This window comes from Homo sapiens, chromosome 8 (genome assembly GCF_000001405.40).
Source record: "Homo sapiens chromosome 8, GRCh38.p14 Primary Assembly".
NCBI lineage: Eukaryota > Metazoa > Chordata > Mammalia > Primates > Hominidae > Homo > Homo sapiens.
Genome location: NC_000008.11, coordinates 125,112,944 through 125,133,481, shown reverse-complemented (window position 1 = coordinate 125,133,481; position 20,538 = coordinate 125,112,944). Strand labels below are relative to the sequence as shown.

Below are 20,538 nucleotides of genomic sequence, written 5' to 3'. Positions count from 1 at the left end.
AGGCATGAGCCACCACACCCGGCTGAATTTAAAGACAAACTATTACTTCAAATCAATGTTTTCAACAAATGTAGAACTCAACCAGCTGTTTTCCCATTTTACACCCCTGGATTATTTCAGTCTTTCATTAAGCTAGAAAACCAAAACTGGATGTAAGATCCCAAAATAAAGCATTCCATAAAAATGTTTGTTTTAAAACAAACTTTTCTACTTAAATATCCTAGTCATTTACTCACATCTATTTTTTGCAACTGCACTGAATATTCCTTCTAAATTTACTAGATTTGCTTCTAATTTCAGCTACAAATTATCATCCTCTAGTGGATATCTGCAGTTTTTAATTTAAAATGGATTTTAAAAATCTAATTAATAAATTTTTTAATCATTTCATAGAGACACTGAAGATAGAAGCAGAATGAAAGTGGAAATTATATTGGATTGAATCAGGATATCTGCAACTGTCAATTTTCTCTGAGACTTTGAGTTAATAACTTAATCTTACTGGTGCTCAGTTTCCTTACTTTTAAGAGAGAGTTAGATGAGATGACCTGTAAAGTGCATTTCAGGCCTAAGGGTCTATAAATCTAGTCTTATCTCATGTTCTATGTTACTGTACTTTTACATTCATATGACATTGCCAAATTATTTCTTAAGTATTGTATCCATTTTTAACAATTTAAAAATTGGGCTGGGTGTGGGTGGCTCACACCTATAATCCCAGCACTTTGGGAGGCTGAGATGGGTGGATCACTTGAGGTCAGCAGTTCAAGACTAGCCTGGGCCACATGGCAAAACCCCATCTCTACTAAAAATACAAAGAATGACCCGAGTGTGGTAGCGTGTATCTGTAGTCCCAGCTACTTGGGAGGCTGAGGTGGGAGGATTGCTTAAGCCTGAGGAGGTGGAGGTTGCAGTGAGCTGAGACTGCACTAGTGTACTCCAGCCTGGGCAACAGAATGAGATCCTGTCTCAAAAAAAAAAACCAAAATTTTTTTTTAATTTAAAAATTGTCTTAAGATACATGCCTCTCCTTAGGATTCAAGAACACTGCTATCACACTGCTTCCTAGAGAGCTGAACACAGAAGAATATGAACAGGTCAGGCACAGAGGCTCATGCCTGTAATCCCAACACTTTGGGAGGCCAAAGAAGTGGGAGAATTGCCTAAGCCTGGCCAACATAGTGAGACCCTGTCTGTACAAAACATTTTTTGAAAAATTATCCAGGTGCAATGGTGTACGCTTGTAGTCCCAGCTACTCAGGAAGCTGAGGTGGAAGAATGGCTTGAGCCCAGGAGTTGCAGTTTACAGTGAGCTATGATTGTGCCACTGTACTCCAGCCTGGGCAACAGAGCAAGATCCTGTACCCACCAACTCCCCATAAGAAGAAGAAGAATATGAATACACATATATTTTTAGTTGCTGAAACACCAAAATGGCAATTATTTCTTGGCTTAATTTACCTGAGAAACTCTAAGGATGCATGACATGAATCCCCCAAAGCAAAGCTTTTACAATGTTGTTAACATAGACTCTGGAGACAGGCTGCCCAGATTTGAATTCTGGAACTTAAGAACTTTTACTTACCTGCAATTCAAGTTAGTAAACACACAGGGTGCACCTACTTGTGCAAGGCACCTCACCATTCAAAGTGAGGGGATAGGGCTCTCAAACTTCAGGATGTATCAGAATTACTTGGGATGCTTGTTTAAAATGCAGATTTCTGGGCTCTGCTTTCAGAAGCTCCAATTTTGCATTTTTAAAATATACATCCCAGGTGCCTCTAAGACTGCAGTTTAAGAAACATTTCTGTAGGGGTTTCAAAGAGACATAATCTCTCCTCTCAAGTACTTACAATCTCCAAGCATTTTTTTTTTCCACGTTAGAACTCAATGAAAAGCTACCATGGTGTTGCACCTGTTGGCTGGGCAAGGTGTGCATAAGTTCCAATATCTATATCCTGATGTAATGATGTAACTCAATTCTTGGCCTTATATTTGAGATCTGCCTCATTCTCTAAACCCAAGCATCTGTAGGCTCTTGCCTACTGAAGTTTTGTTATATATGAGTGAATTCTGACTTCGGAAAGCAGAACATCTTTAACCCTGATTGCTGACCTATAAATCTGACTGCAGCTTCATTCACTGCTCTGGTCTTAGCCTTAACACTGCTGCCAGCAAACATTCTAGTATGTCTTCAGTGCGTATATTTTCCAAGTACGTATATATTTTCAAAAAGAGATTGCAGTATGTCAAGACCCATGTAAATTTCACTCACAAAGAATTATAATGTATCCAAAAATAATAATAATAAACTACCACAATGCCAACAATCAGGAATGAGGGGATCCTGTAATAGAATCCAGACTATGACAACAATGTAACTGTATTGCAAATGCATGACAAATGTCACTGAAGGAAGTGGAGAACAAAGGGAAATGACCTAAGTAACCTTGGAAATGGTGTTCTGACTGAAAACCATAACACTAAAGGCAAAAGAACTGTCCGTAAACCCTAAGCTAGCTGATGAACTTGTTTGTCACAGAAGCACAGGCTAATAATTCTGAAAATGCTTTACATGTATACTGGAGGCACACACAGAAGCAAATGTACAGTGGACGGTGGGAGTCCAGTTTCTTAATGTTGGTGAGGGAAATTACAAATCAGCAGGGAAAAAGAAAAGAATTTAACCACGCAGCACTAGATTAGCGTTGAAGATAATGGTGTGAACACATGTTCCCCTTAATATAGATACAGATGAATACACATACAAGTGACAGGTATGTATGTACACATACATTAGCCTACATACACATATTTCCTAGCTCTGTCTGCTGAAAGGGCTTAGAGGCAGTCACTTTCTGGTAGCAGCAAGCACATCTGGAGCCCAGATCTTGGTTTCTCAATACCACTTTCCAATCAAAAAGAACCAGGGCCCTTGGAAAAATAGCTGATCCTAAGGCAGGGGCAGAAGCAGAGAAAACAAAACTCTTTACAGAATTTCAAATAATTTATGTAGATAATTACTCCTCCAGGAGGTAGAGTTTAATTATGTCCCCTTGAGTGTGGATACAGCGAGCTACTTGCTTCCAAAAAACAGTATGTAGAGGGAAAAGAAAGAAAAAAGTACCTTTCCAGTAAAGAAACTTGACAAACACTACTAGGGCCAGGTGATCAAGGTTGACATTACTGGTCATGTTGATGACTTGCACTAGCTTTGATATGACGTGATGAGAAGGGCCCTTGACCTCTGTGCTCTTCTTCCCAAAAACCTGTAACGCAAATCTAATCATAATAAGACATCAGACAAACTCCAGCTGAGAGACATTCTACAAAACACCTAAGCAGGATTCCTCAAAACTGTCAGGATTACAAGAAAAAAAAAAGCGAAACCAACTAAGAAGCGTCTACGAAGATGATGATTAAATGCAATGTGATATCCTGGATTGGATCCCAGACAACGTTCTTTAAAAGGATATCAGTGAAATCCAAATAAAGTCTGGAGCTTACTATTTAGTTTAGTCAACAGGAATGTACCAGAGTTGTTCCTTAGTTTTGACAAATGTACCATGGTAGTATAAGATCTTCTTAACAACTGAGGGAACTGTGTGAGGGTATGGGTATATGGGAACTCCACTATCTACAACTTTGGTAAATCTAACATCATTCCAAAATAAAAAACTTATTGAAAAAATAAAAAGGATAGAGAGAGATTGCAAAATGAGGTGAAAGAAACTGCAAAAAGAGATGAAGTTGCATTTAAAAAAGTTTACATGATTTAAAAAGTAATTATTAATTCTATTATTTAGTATAAACAATTTTTAACTTGCATGTAAATAAGGCACCAGTCAGACATCATTCCAGCAATTTGCTCTCAGTATTCAGAATATCAATGAAACACACAGACACACACACACACACACACACACACACACACACAGAGCCAAATCTTTTCCTAACACTATCTTCAAAATGAAAAGATTTAATGGACCTGGGTTGCAGGGTGGCAAATAAACTAAGTAGGAATGAAGAAGCACTTCTATTAACTAGTTATACAATCTTAGACAAGTGACTTCATCTCTCTGGGCCTCAATTTCCTGATCTGTAATAGCAATAGGCTTAAAAAGATGTTTAAGTATCCTTTCAGACCAAACACACAATAGTCTATAAAGGTCATTACCAACCTCCTTAAAATCAAATTCCTCTAGATTTCCTCCTACCCTCCAGTGGCTCCTTCTCAATCTCACTACCTGCAACTTTACCCAAACCCTAAGGACACTGGCCCGGGCCTTCTTGTCATTTCACGTATTCCCTCCCCACCTAAGAAACAAACATTCATTCTATGGCTTCAATTTTCATGTATAGGCTTTTGTCATATCTATATCTTTATCCCAAGCTCAAAAACCAACTGTTTATTTGTCATCCCCACTTGAATGCATCTCTAAAACTAAATTTATTTCCTCTGTAAAACGTGTTCTTATCTGCTGTGAGGAGATTAATGGCCCTCTAATAATCCCCCAGTGCCACAATTATGTTATGTTACATGGAAAGGGGGGATTAAGATTATAGATGGAAATAAGATTGTTAATCAGCTGACCTTGCAGTGGGGAGAGAATCCAGGCTTATCTGGGTGGACCTAATGTAATCACAAGGCCCGTTATTAATGAAAGAGAAAAGCAGGTTAGTTAATGTCATAGTGATGCAGGATGAGAAAGACTCAATGGGCCATTGCCAGGTTTGAAGATGGAAGATGGCTAGAAGCCAAGGAATGTGCACTGCCTCTAGAAGCTGGAAAAGGCAAGACAATGATTTTCCCCTGGAGCCTCCAGAAAGGCACATGGCCCTGCCACACTTTGCTTTTAGCCCAGTTAAGATTCACTTCAGGCTTGAGATTTGTGTTGTTTTAAGTCACTAAGTTTGTGGTACTTTGTTCCAGCAGCAACAGCAAAGCATCACACCACCTTAGAAAATGGGGCCTCCATTAACATAGATGCGTATGTCAGAAATTTGAGTATCACCATTGACTTCTTCCTTTTCCTCAATTTCCATATTCAATAAACCATCAAGTTTCATCAATTACTCCTCCTTTGTCTTTTATAAATTGATCTACTTCTCATCAATCCCTTACCACCTTTCTAGTCCAAGTCACTACTACCTAATAGCTGGGAACTACTACAACAACCTCCCAACTGTTAGGCACACCTCCAGGCATATTCCTAGGAAGCCATTTCCCACATTATGGCCAGAGAATAATGCAAAATAAAATTATCCTATTCCTATTTTTAAACTCTTTAACACCTTCCCATTGCCCTAAAGTAAGAGCTTCTTAATTTGACTTACAAGAGCCTACTACCACTAGTCTGGCCCTCTCCAAGTCTCTCCAGCTTCTGCTCAAAGCACAATGGCCATGTCTATTTTAGTCAATGCTGTATTTCTAATAAAGGTGAGCATCCCCAATTCAAAAATCCAAAATCTTCAATGCTCCAAAATCCAAAGCTTTTTTGAGCGCTGACATGACACCACAAGTGGAAAATTCCACACATAAGTACTTAACACAAACCTTGTTTCATGCACAAAATTACTTAAAATGTTGTATAAAATTACCTTCAGGCTATGTGTATATGAAACATAAGTGAATTTCATGTTTAGACTTGGATCCCATCCCCAAGGTATCTCATTATGTATATGTAAATATTCCAAAATCTGAAATCTGAAACACTTCTGGTCCCAAACATTTCACATAAGGGATACTCAACCTGTATTATTAAGTTTCAGCCAAGACTCCAAACCCCTCATAAGCTTACCACTCAGAAAACAAAGATAAGGCAGATACAGGGTAATGCTCAACAAACTCCAGAACGACCCAAGAACTCTGGAAGGCTCCATTCCAGAAGAAGAGAGGGAGACAACTAACAAAAACTGCATCTTCCATGTAACACATTACATAATCTTTCTTTGTTAACTGGTTTAAACGCCTATTTTAGTCTATCCCACAGGAGCACTCATCTTTTTTTGCTTGAAATGAAATCCCATACTAATTTTTCTAAAACTAGAACATACTTTTGTTTCTTAAACCATATCATAAACATCATTTTTTCCTATTAAGAAGACAATCTCCCCCCACACAGAAACACACATGGCCCTTACTATCATGTACTCCCCCAACCTCAGCACACATTCTCAGTGCCATTCCCCATCCTAACAGTAAGACATACACTTTAAATTCTTTTTCCACTAATTCCCTTTATAACCAAAGCAAGCATTTACAGGCTGATCAACCAAGTTGAGAAGTAAATCTTGGACAGCAAAGCATGTAACTGTTTCATCAAACCAGGAACCATGAAAAGGAGATAATGTCCATATTTTTCATGCATGGAAAAGAATGCTAAAGAAGTGAAGTAACTGGTTCAAACTCACAGAGCTAGCAGATAGCAGAACTTGCATTTTAACTCATGGCTGCCTGTGTTATGTACATTATCATTTCTGAGCCAAAAGCTCCAAAGCATCCACCTCTCTCACCTGCGAAAGAACCAAATAATTATAAGCAAAACAAAATAACTGACAGATAAAATAAGAACGCTGTGTGCCAAGTGAAAAGCATTTTATATACAGTATTTAATTCTCACATCAATCCTAAATAAAGTGAGAATAAGGGAGATGTGTGTGGGTACAAAGTTAAATACTTATTAGATGTTAACTGCTATTTTACAATATTATCCTCATTTTGCAAATGAGAGAACCAAAACTTACACAATGCTAATAATTGCCAGAGCTGTGTTTGAACCTAGCGACCTGATTCCAAAATTGTTTCTGAAAGCTCGAGGTTATTCTGCCTAGCCAACAGAATATGATGCCCTCTTTGCCAAAAAGGGAAAGAAGGAATCCAGCAGCAAATAGGACTTTCGTGCATCAAGTAAGGTACTACATCTTCTTGAGGTAGTAAGTGCTGAAGCTATAATACGTGGTGGTAAAATTCTTGGAAAGGCCCAACCTGAAGTTAACATGCAGTTCCCTGAACCTGCCAGGTGCTGGGACACTATTCCTCATGGTCTCACACATCTCCTCACATCTTGTGAGCAAAGACAATAACTGTCCCCCTCGTTTTTTTTTTTTTGAAACAGAGTCTCACACTGTCACCCAGGCTGGAGTGCTATGGCGCAATCTCGGCTCACTGCAACCTCTGCCTCTGGGTTGAAGTGATTCTCCTGCCTCGGCCTCCTTAGTAGGCACCCACCACCATGCCAGCTTAATTTCTGTATTTTTAGAAGAGATGGAGTCTTCACCAAGTTGGCCAAGCTGGTCTCGAACTCCTGACCTCAAGTGATCTGCCCGCCTTGGCCTCTCAAAGTGCTGGAATTACAGGTGTGAGTCACCCCGCCTGGATGACTAACTGCCCTTTTATAGTTTTCAAGGATGTTTGTATAATGAACAAAACCCTGGAAGATTGAGGTTGTGCCTCCTTCTACATCAGAGGGCAGTATAATAAGATGATGTCTTCCTCCATGGCAAAGGTCAGGGAAGTTTACTGCTCGTTACAAAAATCTGGGTCCCTTAGCCCCCAAGTTCCTCAGCTGTGACACAAACCCTCCACAGTATCACCCTGGGCCCTTCCTCACCAATGTAGGACTTGGGACAGAGGGGACAACAAGGTGAACTATGATACTCACACTGTTTGATGTGCAATGTGCAACAAGTGATAAAGACCTTTGTCTCTGACTCATAAGCTCTCACCTTCTGCCAACATCCTGCCACACTGTGGCAGACTAACCTGTTAGCTTTCACAGATCTTGACACCAAGCTGCTCACAGCTCTTCTCATCTTTGCTACCCTCAGAAACACCCTCTCCCACTCTCTAGGGAATGCCTACTCATCATTAATGTCCTCATTTCCAGTACAGAAGTTCTACTAAAGGTCCTCTGCTAGAATTGACCACTAACTCCATGGTGCCTTCACTGTTTCCTGCAATTAGGTTTCTATCACAGCACCTTCACAGCTTTATTCCACTTGCTTATTCATGTTCTGTGCCAGTTATCAATTAATTGCCTCTCAGCTCAAAATTCACCCTTCAATACCCGCTCTGTGATAATAGATGGAAGTGCTTGAAGCATTTTCTCTTACAGTGAGAATGATGTGAAGCTTTCTCAATAAAGGGCGTTAGAAGGCCACTGCAGGAGGAAGGGAGCTCTCCAGATAACATTACACTTAATATTGAAAGATGCTGTTGCCCTAAGATCAGTAAAAAGGATGTATGCTCTTGACACTTTTACTCAACATTGTACTGCAGGTTCTATCGAGGACAATTAGGCAAGAAAAAGAAATAAAGGGCATCCAGATTGGAAAGGAAAAAATAAAACTATCTCCATTCACAGATGACATGATCTTGTATGCAGAAAATCCTAGCTGGGCTCACACCCGTAGTCCCAGCACTTTGGGAGGCTGAGGCAGGGTGATCACTGGAAGTCAGGAGTTCCAGACCAGCCTGGCCAACATAGTGAAACCCCATCTCTACTAAAAATATAAAACATAGTCAGGTGTGATGGCGGGCACCTGTAGTCCCAGCTACTCAGGAGGCTGAGGCAGGATAATTGCTTGAACCCAGGAGGTGGAGGCTGCAGTGAGCTGAGATCACACCACTGCACCCCAGGCTGGGCAAAAGAGTAAGACTCTGTCTCAAAAAACAACAACAACAACAACAAAATCCTGAGGAGGCTGGGTGCAGTGGCTCATGTCTATAATCCTAGTACTTTGGGAGGCCAAGGCAGGAGGATCGCTTGACCCCAGGAGTTCATGACCAGCCAATCCAACATAGCAAGACCTTGTCTCTACAAAATACAAAAATTAGCCAGGTGTGGTGGTGCAAGCCTATAGTCCCAGCTACTCAGGAGACTGAGGTGGGAGGATTGCTTGAGCCTAGAAGGTTGAGGCTACAGTGAGCTGTTGATCACCCCACTGAACTTCAGCCTGGGCAACAGAGTGAGACCTTGTTGAGAGAGAGAGAGAGAGAGAGAGAGAGAAATCCTGAGGAATCCACTTTAAAAAATCAAAATATGAGAACAAATAAATGAGTTCAGCAGTTTCAGAATGCAAGCATGATCAATATACAAAAATCAACTGTATTTTTATACACTTGCAATAAACAATCCAAAAGTGAAATTAGGAAAACAATTCCATTTATAATAGAATCAAAAAGAATAAAATGTTTATGAATAAATTTAACAGAAGTACAGTGAAATATTATTCAGCTATAAAAAGGAATAAAGTACTTACTGATACATGCAACATGGATGAACCTTGAAAACCTTATGCTAAGAAAACAGCCAGTCACAAAAGACCACATATTACATTACTCCATTTATATGAGATGCTGGAAATAGGCAAATCTATAGAGACAGAAAGTAGAATAGTGGCTCCTTAGGAATAGTGAGAATGGGAAAACAGGAAGGCAATAGCTAAAGGGTACAGGGTTTCTTTTTTTGAAGTGATGAAAATGTTCTAAAATTGACTGTGGTGATGGTTATATATCTCTGAATATTCTGAAAACCACAAAATTGTACATTTTAAATGGGTGAATCATACCTCAATAAAGTTGTTATTGTCACCAAATAAAAGAATAAAAAAGCTAATGGGATTTAGAGGGAGTGACTAACTGAGAGGAATTTTTTTAAAAAACAAGGTGAAATACTATTAAGAAGAATTTAAGGTGATTAAATACTAAATTAATTATCTGCTGAAATGAATTTCATTACAGCAAAATTGCATCCTATAATGAGGGATTCTTTACTTAATGTTCCAAACTTAATAGCTCTACATATAACGGCAAATAGGACTGGCATGGGACATGTTGATCTACACAAGATGCACACTTGTGTGTGTGTGTTTGTGTGCGTGTGCGCATGTACACATGTGGGTTAGCACTGCAGAAGATATTCTGGATGTGAGTAGCATCTCAAACTTTGTGACTTCAGATAAGTCACTTAACCCTTCGAGCTTTAGCTCTTTCATCTGTCAAGTGTCTCCTTCATTTTCATAGGATTGTTAAGAGAGAAAAATAACTGCAATAAGATTTATAAATTTGTTGAGTGATATCTCCATATCTTTATATTTCAGAGAGAAGGTGCTTAGTAAATATTGTGGAACTTAGTAAATATTGTGGAACTAACTTCAGAAAATGTAAAGGGCTTTTGGAAAGGAGGAAACTAAAACATAAACTTTATTATAAACACACCTGAGTCTAGGAGAACTTTATAGGTAAGATTTTTCAGTAACCCATGATATAGAAGTTGTCAAGGCTTATATCGTACTCTTTGTAAAAATTATTTCCTACCAGTCATTTAATGAGTTGGCCAGAAAAATATATATATATATTTGCAAGAACCATTTCTGTTATCTTCCCTATAATCCCTTTTCAGGTATCACTTTATATTTTGATTTTATGAAATTTTAACCCATTCTTAGCCTTTAAAGACATGAGACAAAACTATCAAACTTCTCTAGACCACGGATGAGTAAAGTGCAGCCCACTACTATTCAAATCACATCCATTTGTTTACATATTGTTTATGGCTGCTTTTGAGTGAAAATGGCAGAGTTGAGTAGTGCAACACAGACTGGAACACGAAGCCCCAACTTGGCTGGGAAACAGGATATTATTAACTGGTCTTTTCAAACCCCTGTATCTAGTGGTGAGAATACCTTATGCTAAAGTATAAGGTTGAAATATATATAGTATATAGTTGAAATACAACTGAGTGCAAAGAAGTGCTCTGCTGTTTAGATGGACGAATGTACAACAAACAAAGAGGAACCCAAGAAGAGATCAATTTGGTTTGGGTGGGAGAGGAATGTCTGCAGAAAAAAGATGATACTTAAGCTTATCCTTGAAAGATGAATTGGTGCCCTCAAAGCACTCAACAGAGAAAGGGCATTCTAGGGAGAGGAAGTCATGTGAGCAGAGAAAAGAGGCTTAAAGAGCATATGTTGATGGCACTTAAACCAGGCTCCATGACTGGAGTATATAGAGTATAAGGGGATATAGCCAGTGACATCATGCACCTTCTGTAAGTTATGCTCAAGGGTTTAAAATAGTTGTAGAAGGTAATAACTACCATTTTTCGGGAAGCAAATGCCAGATGCTTTGGTTATGGCTAGAGAAACAATCAAACAAAGATGATCCAAGAAGTCAATTCACGGTAATCAAGACTTACAATCCTAGTAAGGATCTAGAGATTTGTTGAAGTATCTTCATATCTTTGTATTTCTAGCATAGTACATTTCATATAATAGGCAGCATTTTTTTTTTTTTTTTTTTTTTTGGCTCAGCCAGAGAACCTTCTAAGTCAATCATCAGAGTTGGCATAGAATGGACTCTATAAATGGTTTTAATGAAGAACTCATCTTCAGGCATAACGGTGTCAGAGCTCTGCAAAAGAGCTATCTACACTGAGCACAGGCCTAGGTCAATAATGCGTAGGTAAGAACTTATCTCAGAGCTTACTGCAATTGGGAAGGGGTTAGGGTTACAAAGGATGATGGGTGAGAATATGTAAGGAGTAAATAATTAAAATGTATATTTCCAATCTGAAATCCATTATTGTGGTTAAAAAACAAAAACCACTCCTTCAGAGATACAGTATATAGTCCTTGGTCAACCTCAAGGTTCAGTTTACTCATATGTATAATGGTAATGATACCTACCTACCTGACAGTATTTCTGTAAGGATTAAATGAATGAATACACATAAGGCATTTATAACATGCCAGGTACACAAAAAGCATCACAAGTTGGCTATTATTAAGTTGCCTATTAAATTAGAGTCTACAAAAGATGTATGCCTATGGGATACAGAATCAGGCTGCTAGGTCATAAAATGTAAAAATACATTCACAGATTCTTGATTGAGACATACAGATTCATGGTCTCCTCATTTGGCACACATTACTTACTACCATGTAGTTCTCCTGATCTTTGCATGGATACCTATTTGCCTTATCTGCTAACAAAATTATTAGCCTTTTGAGGGCATGAGCCAATAATAATTGGTGACTGATCAACATAAAATGCTAACAATTACCTAACAACAGTGGCAATCAACCAACCTCAAATAAATGTTTGAATCAGTATTGTACAATAAAGGGACAAAATTACCTTGTCCAAAATTACCTGCCCAAAAGAAGAGGAAGCGCAAATCTTTGTCTTGGAGTAAAATCTGCCACTGCTGTCACCACCAGTTTAAAAAGACAGTAACTCTGAATTTTATAAATATTCTCTTTCCCTTCTTCATCTACTGAGCACGCTACCTATAACTTCTCACCATGTATATATAGCTTTTCCAACTAACATTTCTTTCTCCTCACTTATTCAGGCCACTTTCTCCTGGCTCTACTATAATAGTAGTAATAAACACAAAACCAAAAGAGTTAATAAAAGATGCCTTCCAAGTTCTTTTTCAGTAAGTTTAAGAAATACAATGAAATAGTGATGAAAATCACTGTGTAGCATTTTTCAATCAACCTTCGTTATGGCAGATGTGCAGTAGAATGAAGAGGGAAGGGTAAATTCAAAAGTAATAAAGCTTCCTCTCAACTTTAGTCAAGGCATACATGTCTGATTCTACAAGGCCTTCAAAGAAATTCATGCAAGGAATGCGCCTCTTGCGACTTGGTCACATGCAAAAATGAAGCAAGAAGCACATCTGTTTGGAGCTTGCCCCAAATGCCTCAAGTTCTCCTCCAAACTAGGTTCATAACTCCCACCCACAGAGAGAAAGCCAGTGCCTGAGGCAGCACCCAGGGACAAGCAAATTAGCATTTCCAAGGTCAATTGCTGACAGGCCTAATTGTTTATAGCAACTAGAGTACAGTATTCTGGCTGCTGAAGTTAACAGGCTTAACCTCTGGCTTGCCCAATATCGTAAGAAACTAGTTTACCACATCAGCCACAAAATATGAAAGTACTGTAGATGTGGATTCAAATTATCATGACATTTCAAACAGAAGCAAATACTAGCAGGATCCTCAGAAGTAAGTCATTTTAGGCTGACTAAACTATTTTTAAAATTGGCATTTTATGTATTAAAATACCAATCACACCTAGGGTAGAAAAGTGACAAATACAAAAGAAATCAACAGATAATAACTCGTTTTACCGACTGGTTTGATTTGAGTACTCTCCAAAACTTCTAAAATGTTACATGATGATTGATTTAAATATCCTTATGCTTTCTTGCCCTTCTCTGACACAGTCACTGACAAATGAAATAACCTATATCTGTGCTGTTATCTAATACAGTACCCACTTTTCACATGTGGCTACTAAATATATGAAATATGGCTAGTCCAGGTTGACATGTACTGTAAGATTCTAATTTTAGTATCAAAAAAGTCAAAATAATATTAGTAACTTTCATATTGATTATATGTTAAAATATTTTAGACATATTTGTTTAAATAAAACATTTCTAAAAGTAATCTTTCCTCTTTCTTCTTACTTTTTGTAATAAGGACAGCAGAAAATTTTAAATTACACATGTGGCTAACACTTTATATAAATAATGCTTTACATATATAAATAATAATGCTTTACATATATAAATAATGCTTTACATTTATATATAACAAATAATTTCATTTATAAAGTACAGAAAGAAGAGGGAGAAAAAATAGGTCTGGATAATAAAATAATCTTCTCTAGAATAATCAAGTTGGTTTAGCTATGTTAATTGCCAATCTACAAAAAGCTCCTTTCTGCTTACTAGAAGACGTAAAATTTTATGTCTTTTAAAAAGGAATCTGATGTCTCAAAAATAATCCTAAAGTCTGTTCTATCTACTTCTTCCATAAGCTGTCATCTTTGCTTAGCATTAAACTAGTCTCAATTATTTCCAATGATCAAAGAGATATAATAAAGTGCTAGTCTAATTTTAATCTGATTGAGTGACTCCAATTCCATTTTTTCTGTGATGGTCATTTTCAAACCCTGTTAGGCCACTGAAACCTAAACCAAGCTTCAGCTCCAAAGACAAAAAAGCAGAATTAATAGAAAAATTATTCTCAGGATTCTAGAAAAACCCAGATGGTATTCAGATACTATACACGCTGTTTTAAAAACTAAAAAGTGACTCATTTACTGTTTCACAAAGTGACATCCTAATGTGAATGGGAGAGCTTAGCAAACAGGGGAACACAGCAAGTAATTATTTCCACACACGCCATCATGTGGAGAAACCATGCCAACTTTCAGGTTGTTACAGTCGGTGGAGGAAAGAAAATCTGGAGGTGTTGGAATGATTGGAAATTTATGGAGTGAGATTCCACGGTAACAGGAGGTGAGATGAGGTGAACAGCAGCCAAAACTTTCCTCTCAATAGCTCTTAAAAAGGAAACTACTCAACTTTCTGAGTAAGGAAGCCAATAGGAAAGCACATTTCACCCTTTTTGACATTCTAAAACTGCCCCAAATACAACTGGGCCACTGGAGGAAGGACAAAATTACAAGAAATTTATGCGCACAATATGTATAAGTCTTTTAAAAGTGGTTTTAAAATGTAATCGATAACAAAATCAAGATCCATTAACCTGGAAGAATAAATACTTATGATTCATATGAAATGTTTATTTTTATTTTGTGAAAGGATCTGCATCAATCACTGGTAAATGAAACTGATTAACCCACACAACTGAAAAGGAGAGCAGCAAAGGTGAGAGGTATAGTCCTCATTCCTGGAAGAGTTGATCTAAAAATTTAACCTTAATAGTCGTATAGTTCTCTGGTCTAATAGAATCAACACATTTTTACTTTTTATATACATGAGATAATTCAGGCTCCAAATTCCAATAATTTAGTGATTGTATCTTTTATATAATCCTAAACTGTGCAATAAGCACTGTTCAAAAAGCCAATAGCTACTTCATAAGAAGTGTTCTGGTGCCACCTAGTGGTATTTCCTACCAAATGGGAAATACTGACTAGAGAAGGGTTCTCAAAGTGTACCCGCAGACCCTGGGAACTTCTCAGAAATGCACATTCTTAGACTCATTCGAGACCTACTGAAACTCTAGTGGCAAGGTCCAGCAATCTCTGTGTGTGTGTGTTTGTTTGTTTGTTTTTAAGACAGTCTCACTCTGTCACCCAGGCTGGAGTGCGGTGGTGTAATCTCGGCTCACTGCAACCTCTGCCTCCTGGCAGGTTCAAGTGATCCTCCCACCTTAGCCTCCCGGGTTCAAGTGATCCTCCCACCTTAGCCTCCCGAGTAGCTGGGACTAGAGGCGTGTGCCACCATGCCCAGCTAATTTTTGTATTTTTAGTAGAGATGGGGTTTGGGTATGTTGGCCAGGCTGAGGTCACGTGACCTCAGGTGATCCGCCCGCCTCGGCCTCCTAAAGTGCTAAGATTACAGTTGTGACCCTTCTCCATGCCTGGCCCAGCAAGCTCTCTAAAGTGATGCTGATGCACCCTCAAGTTTGAGAACCTCTGGCTAAGACATTTCATACACAAAAATTGAATGCGGTCTTTAAAAATTAGGTTCAAAAATTAACAAAAGGGCTTATTTTCTCATTTTGGAAAGTAACTTCCTACATTCTTGATCCAGATATTTGTATTAAGAGAACACAATCTTGAAAGCCAGTTACTAACGCATTTATATATGGATTCAACACCTAATAGGCATTAAAGTCCCAGACTCTGAAGACATCAGATGAACACACTGAGATCTTTGTCCTCAGGAAACCTAGTTAAAAGGGAAGACCAGTTTGTGACTAGCCTGGGCAACATAGCAAGACCTTGTCTCTAAAAATAATAAAAAAATTAGCTGGGGATCGTGGTGCACGCCTCTGGTCCCAGCTACTTTGGGAGGCTGAGTTGGGAGAATCATTTGAGCCAGGGCAGTAGAGACTACTGTGAGCTTGGGCGACAGAGTAAGACCCCATCTCTTAAAAAAATAAAATAAAAATAAAAAAGGTATAAATGCAAAAAGCCCCATGGAACAAAGAAAACGCATTAACTGGTATCAGGATATCGAGATATCGAGACATGGCAAATTATGGTATCTTAGGAAGGAGGAACACTTACTTGGAAACACACAAAAAGCCAAAGAGACTGAAGGCTGGGAGCAGTGGCTCACGCCTGTAATCCTAGCACTTTGGGAGGCTGAGGCGTGAGAATTGCTTGAACCTGGGAGGTGGAGGTTGCAGTGAGCCGAGATCATGCCACCACACTCCAGCCTGGGTGACAGAGCAAGACTCTGTCTCAAAGAAAAAAAAATAAAAAGCCAAAGAAGCTGAATATTGGTGATTTTTTAAATTAAGCAGCAGCTACCCTAATGCTAATAGACACCACTGCAAGTCCACTGTATACATCTGCTTTGTGTAACTATATTATAAAGTAATCAAGAAAAAAGCAAATCTGATGAAGCTCTGCTAAATTGTTTCTTTTCCATTTAGGTCTTAGAGGAGAGCGCCTGTAGTCCCAGCTACTTGGGAGGCTAAGGCAGGAAAACTGTTTGAACCCAGGAGGTGGAGGTTGCAATGAGCCAAGATCATGCCACTGCCCACCAGAGTGGGTGACAGAGAGAGGCTCCATCTCAAAAAAAAAAAAAAAAAAAAGTTATATGCTTAAGTAAAAAAACTGGATCAAGAGATATATCTTCAGTATGGCCATTGGCCCATATAGTGATAATTAGGCACTATGCTTTGTTCTGTGGCTCAAACTGCAAACATATCACTTAGAAGAAAATAAATCACCTCTGAAAAGCTAGCCTTGCAAGCTCAAGACTCCATGACAGGTAACATCACAGACATTACTGCTAATGACATAAGTAGGTTAAGGAATTTCAAAGACCTGCTCTATTGATTAGTTTTTATTTTGTCCTTTCAAAACACAGACACTCCCATGTGTGCACATATACGCACACACACACGCACACACAGAGCAACCAATTCTAACATTATAAAAGCAACTATCCATAATAGGATGAGTTTCTGACAAAAGGCTTTCTTCCAAACCTTCCCTATACACAGAAATAAGTTAGTAAAAATAAGTCACAGAAAGCTGGGTCAAGTAAAATGGAAATAATAATAATTTTTTTAACATAAGGAAGAAAATCTTTGATCTCATTTTTAAAAATTAACTTTCTTTGTTGTCATTGTCATTGCACTGAAGGACCTGTGGTGAGCAGTGTATGAGCCTGTGTGCCATACTGCCTTGCCAAGTTCAAATGTTCTGCCATTTGTTAGCTGTGACCTTGGTCCAAAAATTAACTTTTTGAGCTTTAAGTTTTGTCATTTGTAAAATAGAATTCATATTACAAGCCTCATATATTTGCAATAAGAACTGGATGTCTGATACATCACTAACAGCTGTTAAGGATTACTGCCATTCATCCATGGTTAGCAGAAAGAGGAAAGAAAGGAAAGAGACTACAGATAAATCGAGGTCATGGGGCTGGAGTTGGGCAAACTGGGTCCAAATGCAAATTCCCAATTTGCAACTTGGGTGTGTGCCTTATGGTAAGTTGTTTCAATTCAATGAGCCTAATTTCCCCTTCTGTGGAGTGAGGATGAGGATATTGACCTCTTTCAGTGATTTCCACAACATACACCTTTATTTCATACTTGCCTATTGTAGGCTATGACAGCTCCCTTTTCTTCACCTACTTCAACATTTTTGTAAACAGTTGCATCAGCAAGCATCTCCCAGGTCAAGACTAAACAATATACTAATGGCCATGAAAGATTTATTTATTTATTATTATTTTTTTTTATTGAGACGGAGTCTCGCTCTGTCAATCTTGGCTCACTGCAACCTCCACCCACCTGGTTCTAGCAATTCTCCTGCCTCAGCCTCCCAAGTAGCTGGGATTACACACATCTGCCACCATGCCTGGCTAATTTTTGTATTTTTGGCAGAGATGGGGTTTCACTGTGTTGGCTAGGGTGGTCTTGAACTCCTGACTTCAGGTGATCTGTGTGACTTGGCCTTCCAAAGTGCTGGGATTACAGGCGTGAGCCACTGAGCCCGGCCTGAAAGATTTAATAGAAACATCTTTCACATATTTCCAAGACATAAATCAATGTACATGGAATCTCACTGGTGGAGAAAAAGGATGACTCTGAAGCTCCTCCAATATATAGGCTTTGTTACTTTTAAAGCCCTTTCCCAAACCTGTCTACCAAATGCAAATTTGCTTCAATGTCAGATATGCCCAGGGGGGTGCTGGTAACTGCTTCATAACCAGCTCTCCAGCTGTTGGGGAGGGTCTAATTTGTGACATTTGCCCATTTCCATGGGTGGAGTCAATATTCCTACCGTGGCTTCTACAATCCAACACCCAAATTTCTTAGTTACTTGGTTGACTGACTGGTTCACTCAAAAAGCATTTAAAGAGAACCTAAAATGTACAAAGTCCACTGCCAAGCTCTGAGAGTTGGAGCATGAGGATGGCTGTATGGGAATCCTAATCTCAAGGACATACAGTCCAGTGAGGGAAATATGACACATAAAGAAACATAAAATATAAGGGAAACACGAGGAATGCTATCAACTCTGAAAATAAGGAAAAGCCTTAACTGCCAGCAAAAAGAGCAATAAAGGTCCAAGTATTATTTACCTAAAGAACCCTTAGTATTGCCTATGTTTTCCACTTCAAATTTCAAAAATTCTCTAAGTAGATTTTTTAAACCAGTGACTATGTATGTGTATGTATGTGTATATGTATGTATGTATGCATACATTAGTGTGTGTATCAGAGTTTCTCAGCCTCAGCACTAATGACAGCTTAGGCTGCACAGTTCTTTGCTGTGCAGGGGCTGTCCCATTCACTGAAGGCTGTTTAGCAGCATCTGAACACCTAGAGGCCAGGGCACACATGCTCCCCGCATCCCCGAGTTGTGACAGCCAGAAATGTCTCCAGACACTGCCAAAGGAACCCTGGAGGGCAAAATCACCCACTGCTGTATATACATATGTACGTATGTATGTATACATGGATATGGATGGGGTATAGGCATGGAGTGCATATATAATCCATGAACATGGGTGTGGGTATATATGAATGAGTTAGACAATCAGAGGAAATTTTTATAGTAATTTTCCTGTTAGGTTTTAAACACATTCTTTCATTTATTGAGTGCTTACTGTGTATCATGTACCTATAGGCAATAGCAGCGGGTAAGGGTATCTGATAAAAACCCCTGCTGTCACAGAGCATACATTCAGGGCAGACACAGACAATAAATAACATTAATAAAGCAATTATACAGTATGTTAGAAAGTGAGGTAGTGGTAAGTATTAAACAGTCGAGAGAAAAATAAAGCAGAGAAAGGGGTAAGAGATTCTGAAAGGAGTGGGATGAAGGACATGCTGCAATTCTAAATTTCAAGGGCCTAGACATACCGGGCAAAATATTTATGTTCAGATTTTCAGAAGATCATGTGCTTATAGGTAACTTCTTGAGAATACAATCTAAAAACAAGTCTAAATCTAATTAGATTTAATCTTAATAACTGGGAATTTACTTCTTTTGGTTCACAACCAAAGGGAGAAGAATCCTATCAAATTCATAAAAGTAGTTGTCACACTACTCCTCTACCCTCTACCCAATCCTAGAACCTGCTAAACCTCACTCATTCTGAAAAGCTCCCAGTCCCTGAACAACCAATGGGCAAAAGCATTCATGAGAGATTACCTAACCACTAAGGTCCCTTTCAGAATCAAGATGATATTAACAGATCATCTATGTGAACATGGTGGATCCTGCTGATGAGAAAGGAGAGGATGACGGGGGAAATGAATTATGAATTTCATTCTGGTAAATCTTTCTGCACACCTAAACTGGTGTTGAAAGGTTGGTTTACACTTTATTGTGTTCAGGTTCTAATCCACATCATTGTGAACATTTTCCTTATGATTCTTTTTATTAGTACACTTTAATCTCCTCCCCCAGAAATGTATTTCTCATAAGTTGTTCTTTTTACCCATTTAACTATATATTTTTATTTATTTATTTTTTAGAGACAGGGTCTTTCTCTGTTGCTCAGGTTCAAGTGTAGTGGTATAATCATATCTTGCTGTAGCCTTGAACTCCTGGGCTTCTCCTGCCTCAGCCTCTGGAGTAGCTAGGACTACAGGTGCATGCCACCACACCTGACTCATTTTAAAAATGTTTGTAGAGACAAGGTTTCACTATGTTGTGCAGAGTGGTCTCAAACTCTTGGCCTCAAGAGATCCTTCTGCCTTGGCCTCCCAAAGCACTGGGATTACAGGTGTGAGCCACCACAACAGTTCTTTACTTAACTATAAAGTCTACAATGGTAACACTAAAATGAATGAATAAACACAGTCCTAGGAAACACAAAGATATCAGCAAAAAAGAACTGAGTTTTTCAAAGTTGGATTTTTCATATTCTGTAGGTATTGACTCACCCCCCCCCCCATTTTCTGTTAATATATATTCACTTTTAAATTTATTTTTAATTGACAAAAATTAAATATATTTATGGTATACATTTTGTTTTGAAATATGTAAACACTGTGGAATGGCTACATC

At 38.5% G+C, this 20,538-nt stretch overlaps 1 protein-coding gene across 16 annotated transcripts in view; it reads right to left on the bottom strand.

Moving 5' to 3' along the window:
- NSMCE2 (NSE2 SUMO ligase component of SMC5/6 complex) overlaps nt 1-20,538 on the bottom strand; it is a 275,261-nt gene that overhangs the window by 233,639 nt on the left and 21,084 nt on the right. Inside the window, exon 1 of one of the 16 annotated variants that reach the window (XM_017013332.3) lies at nt 3,128-6,328. The exons of 14 other annotated variants lie outside the window; for them this stretch is intronic. In XM_017013332.3, the coding sequence (XP_016868821.1) occupies nt 3,128-3,290 (163 nt within the window). In that variant the 5' untranslated portion in view covers nt 3,291-6,328. Of the gene's footprint in view, nt 1-3,127; nt 6,329-20,538 lie in introns of those variants that run through there. One more of the 16 variants, XM_017013330.3, reaches the window with a different exon arrangement.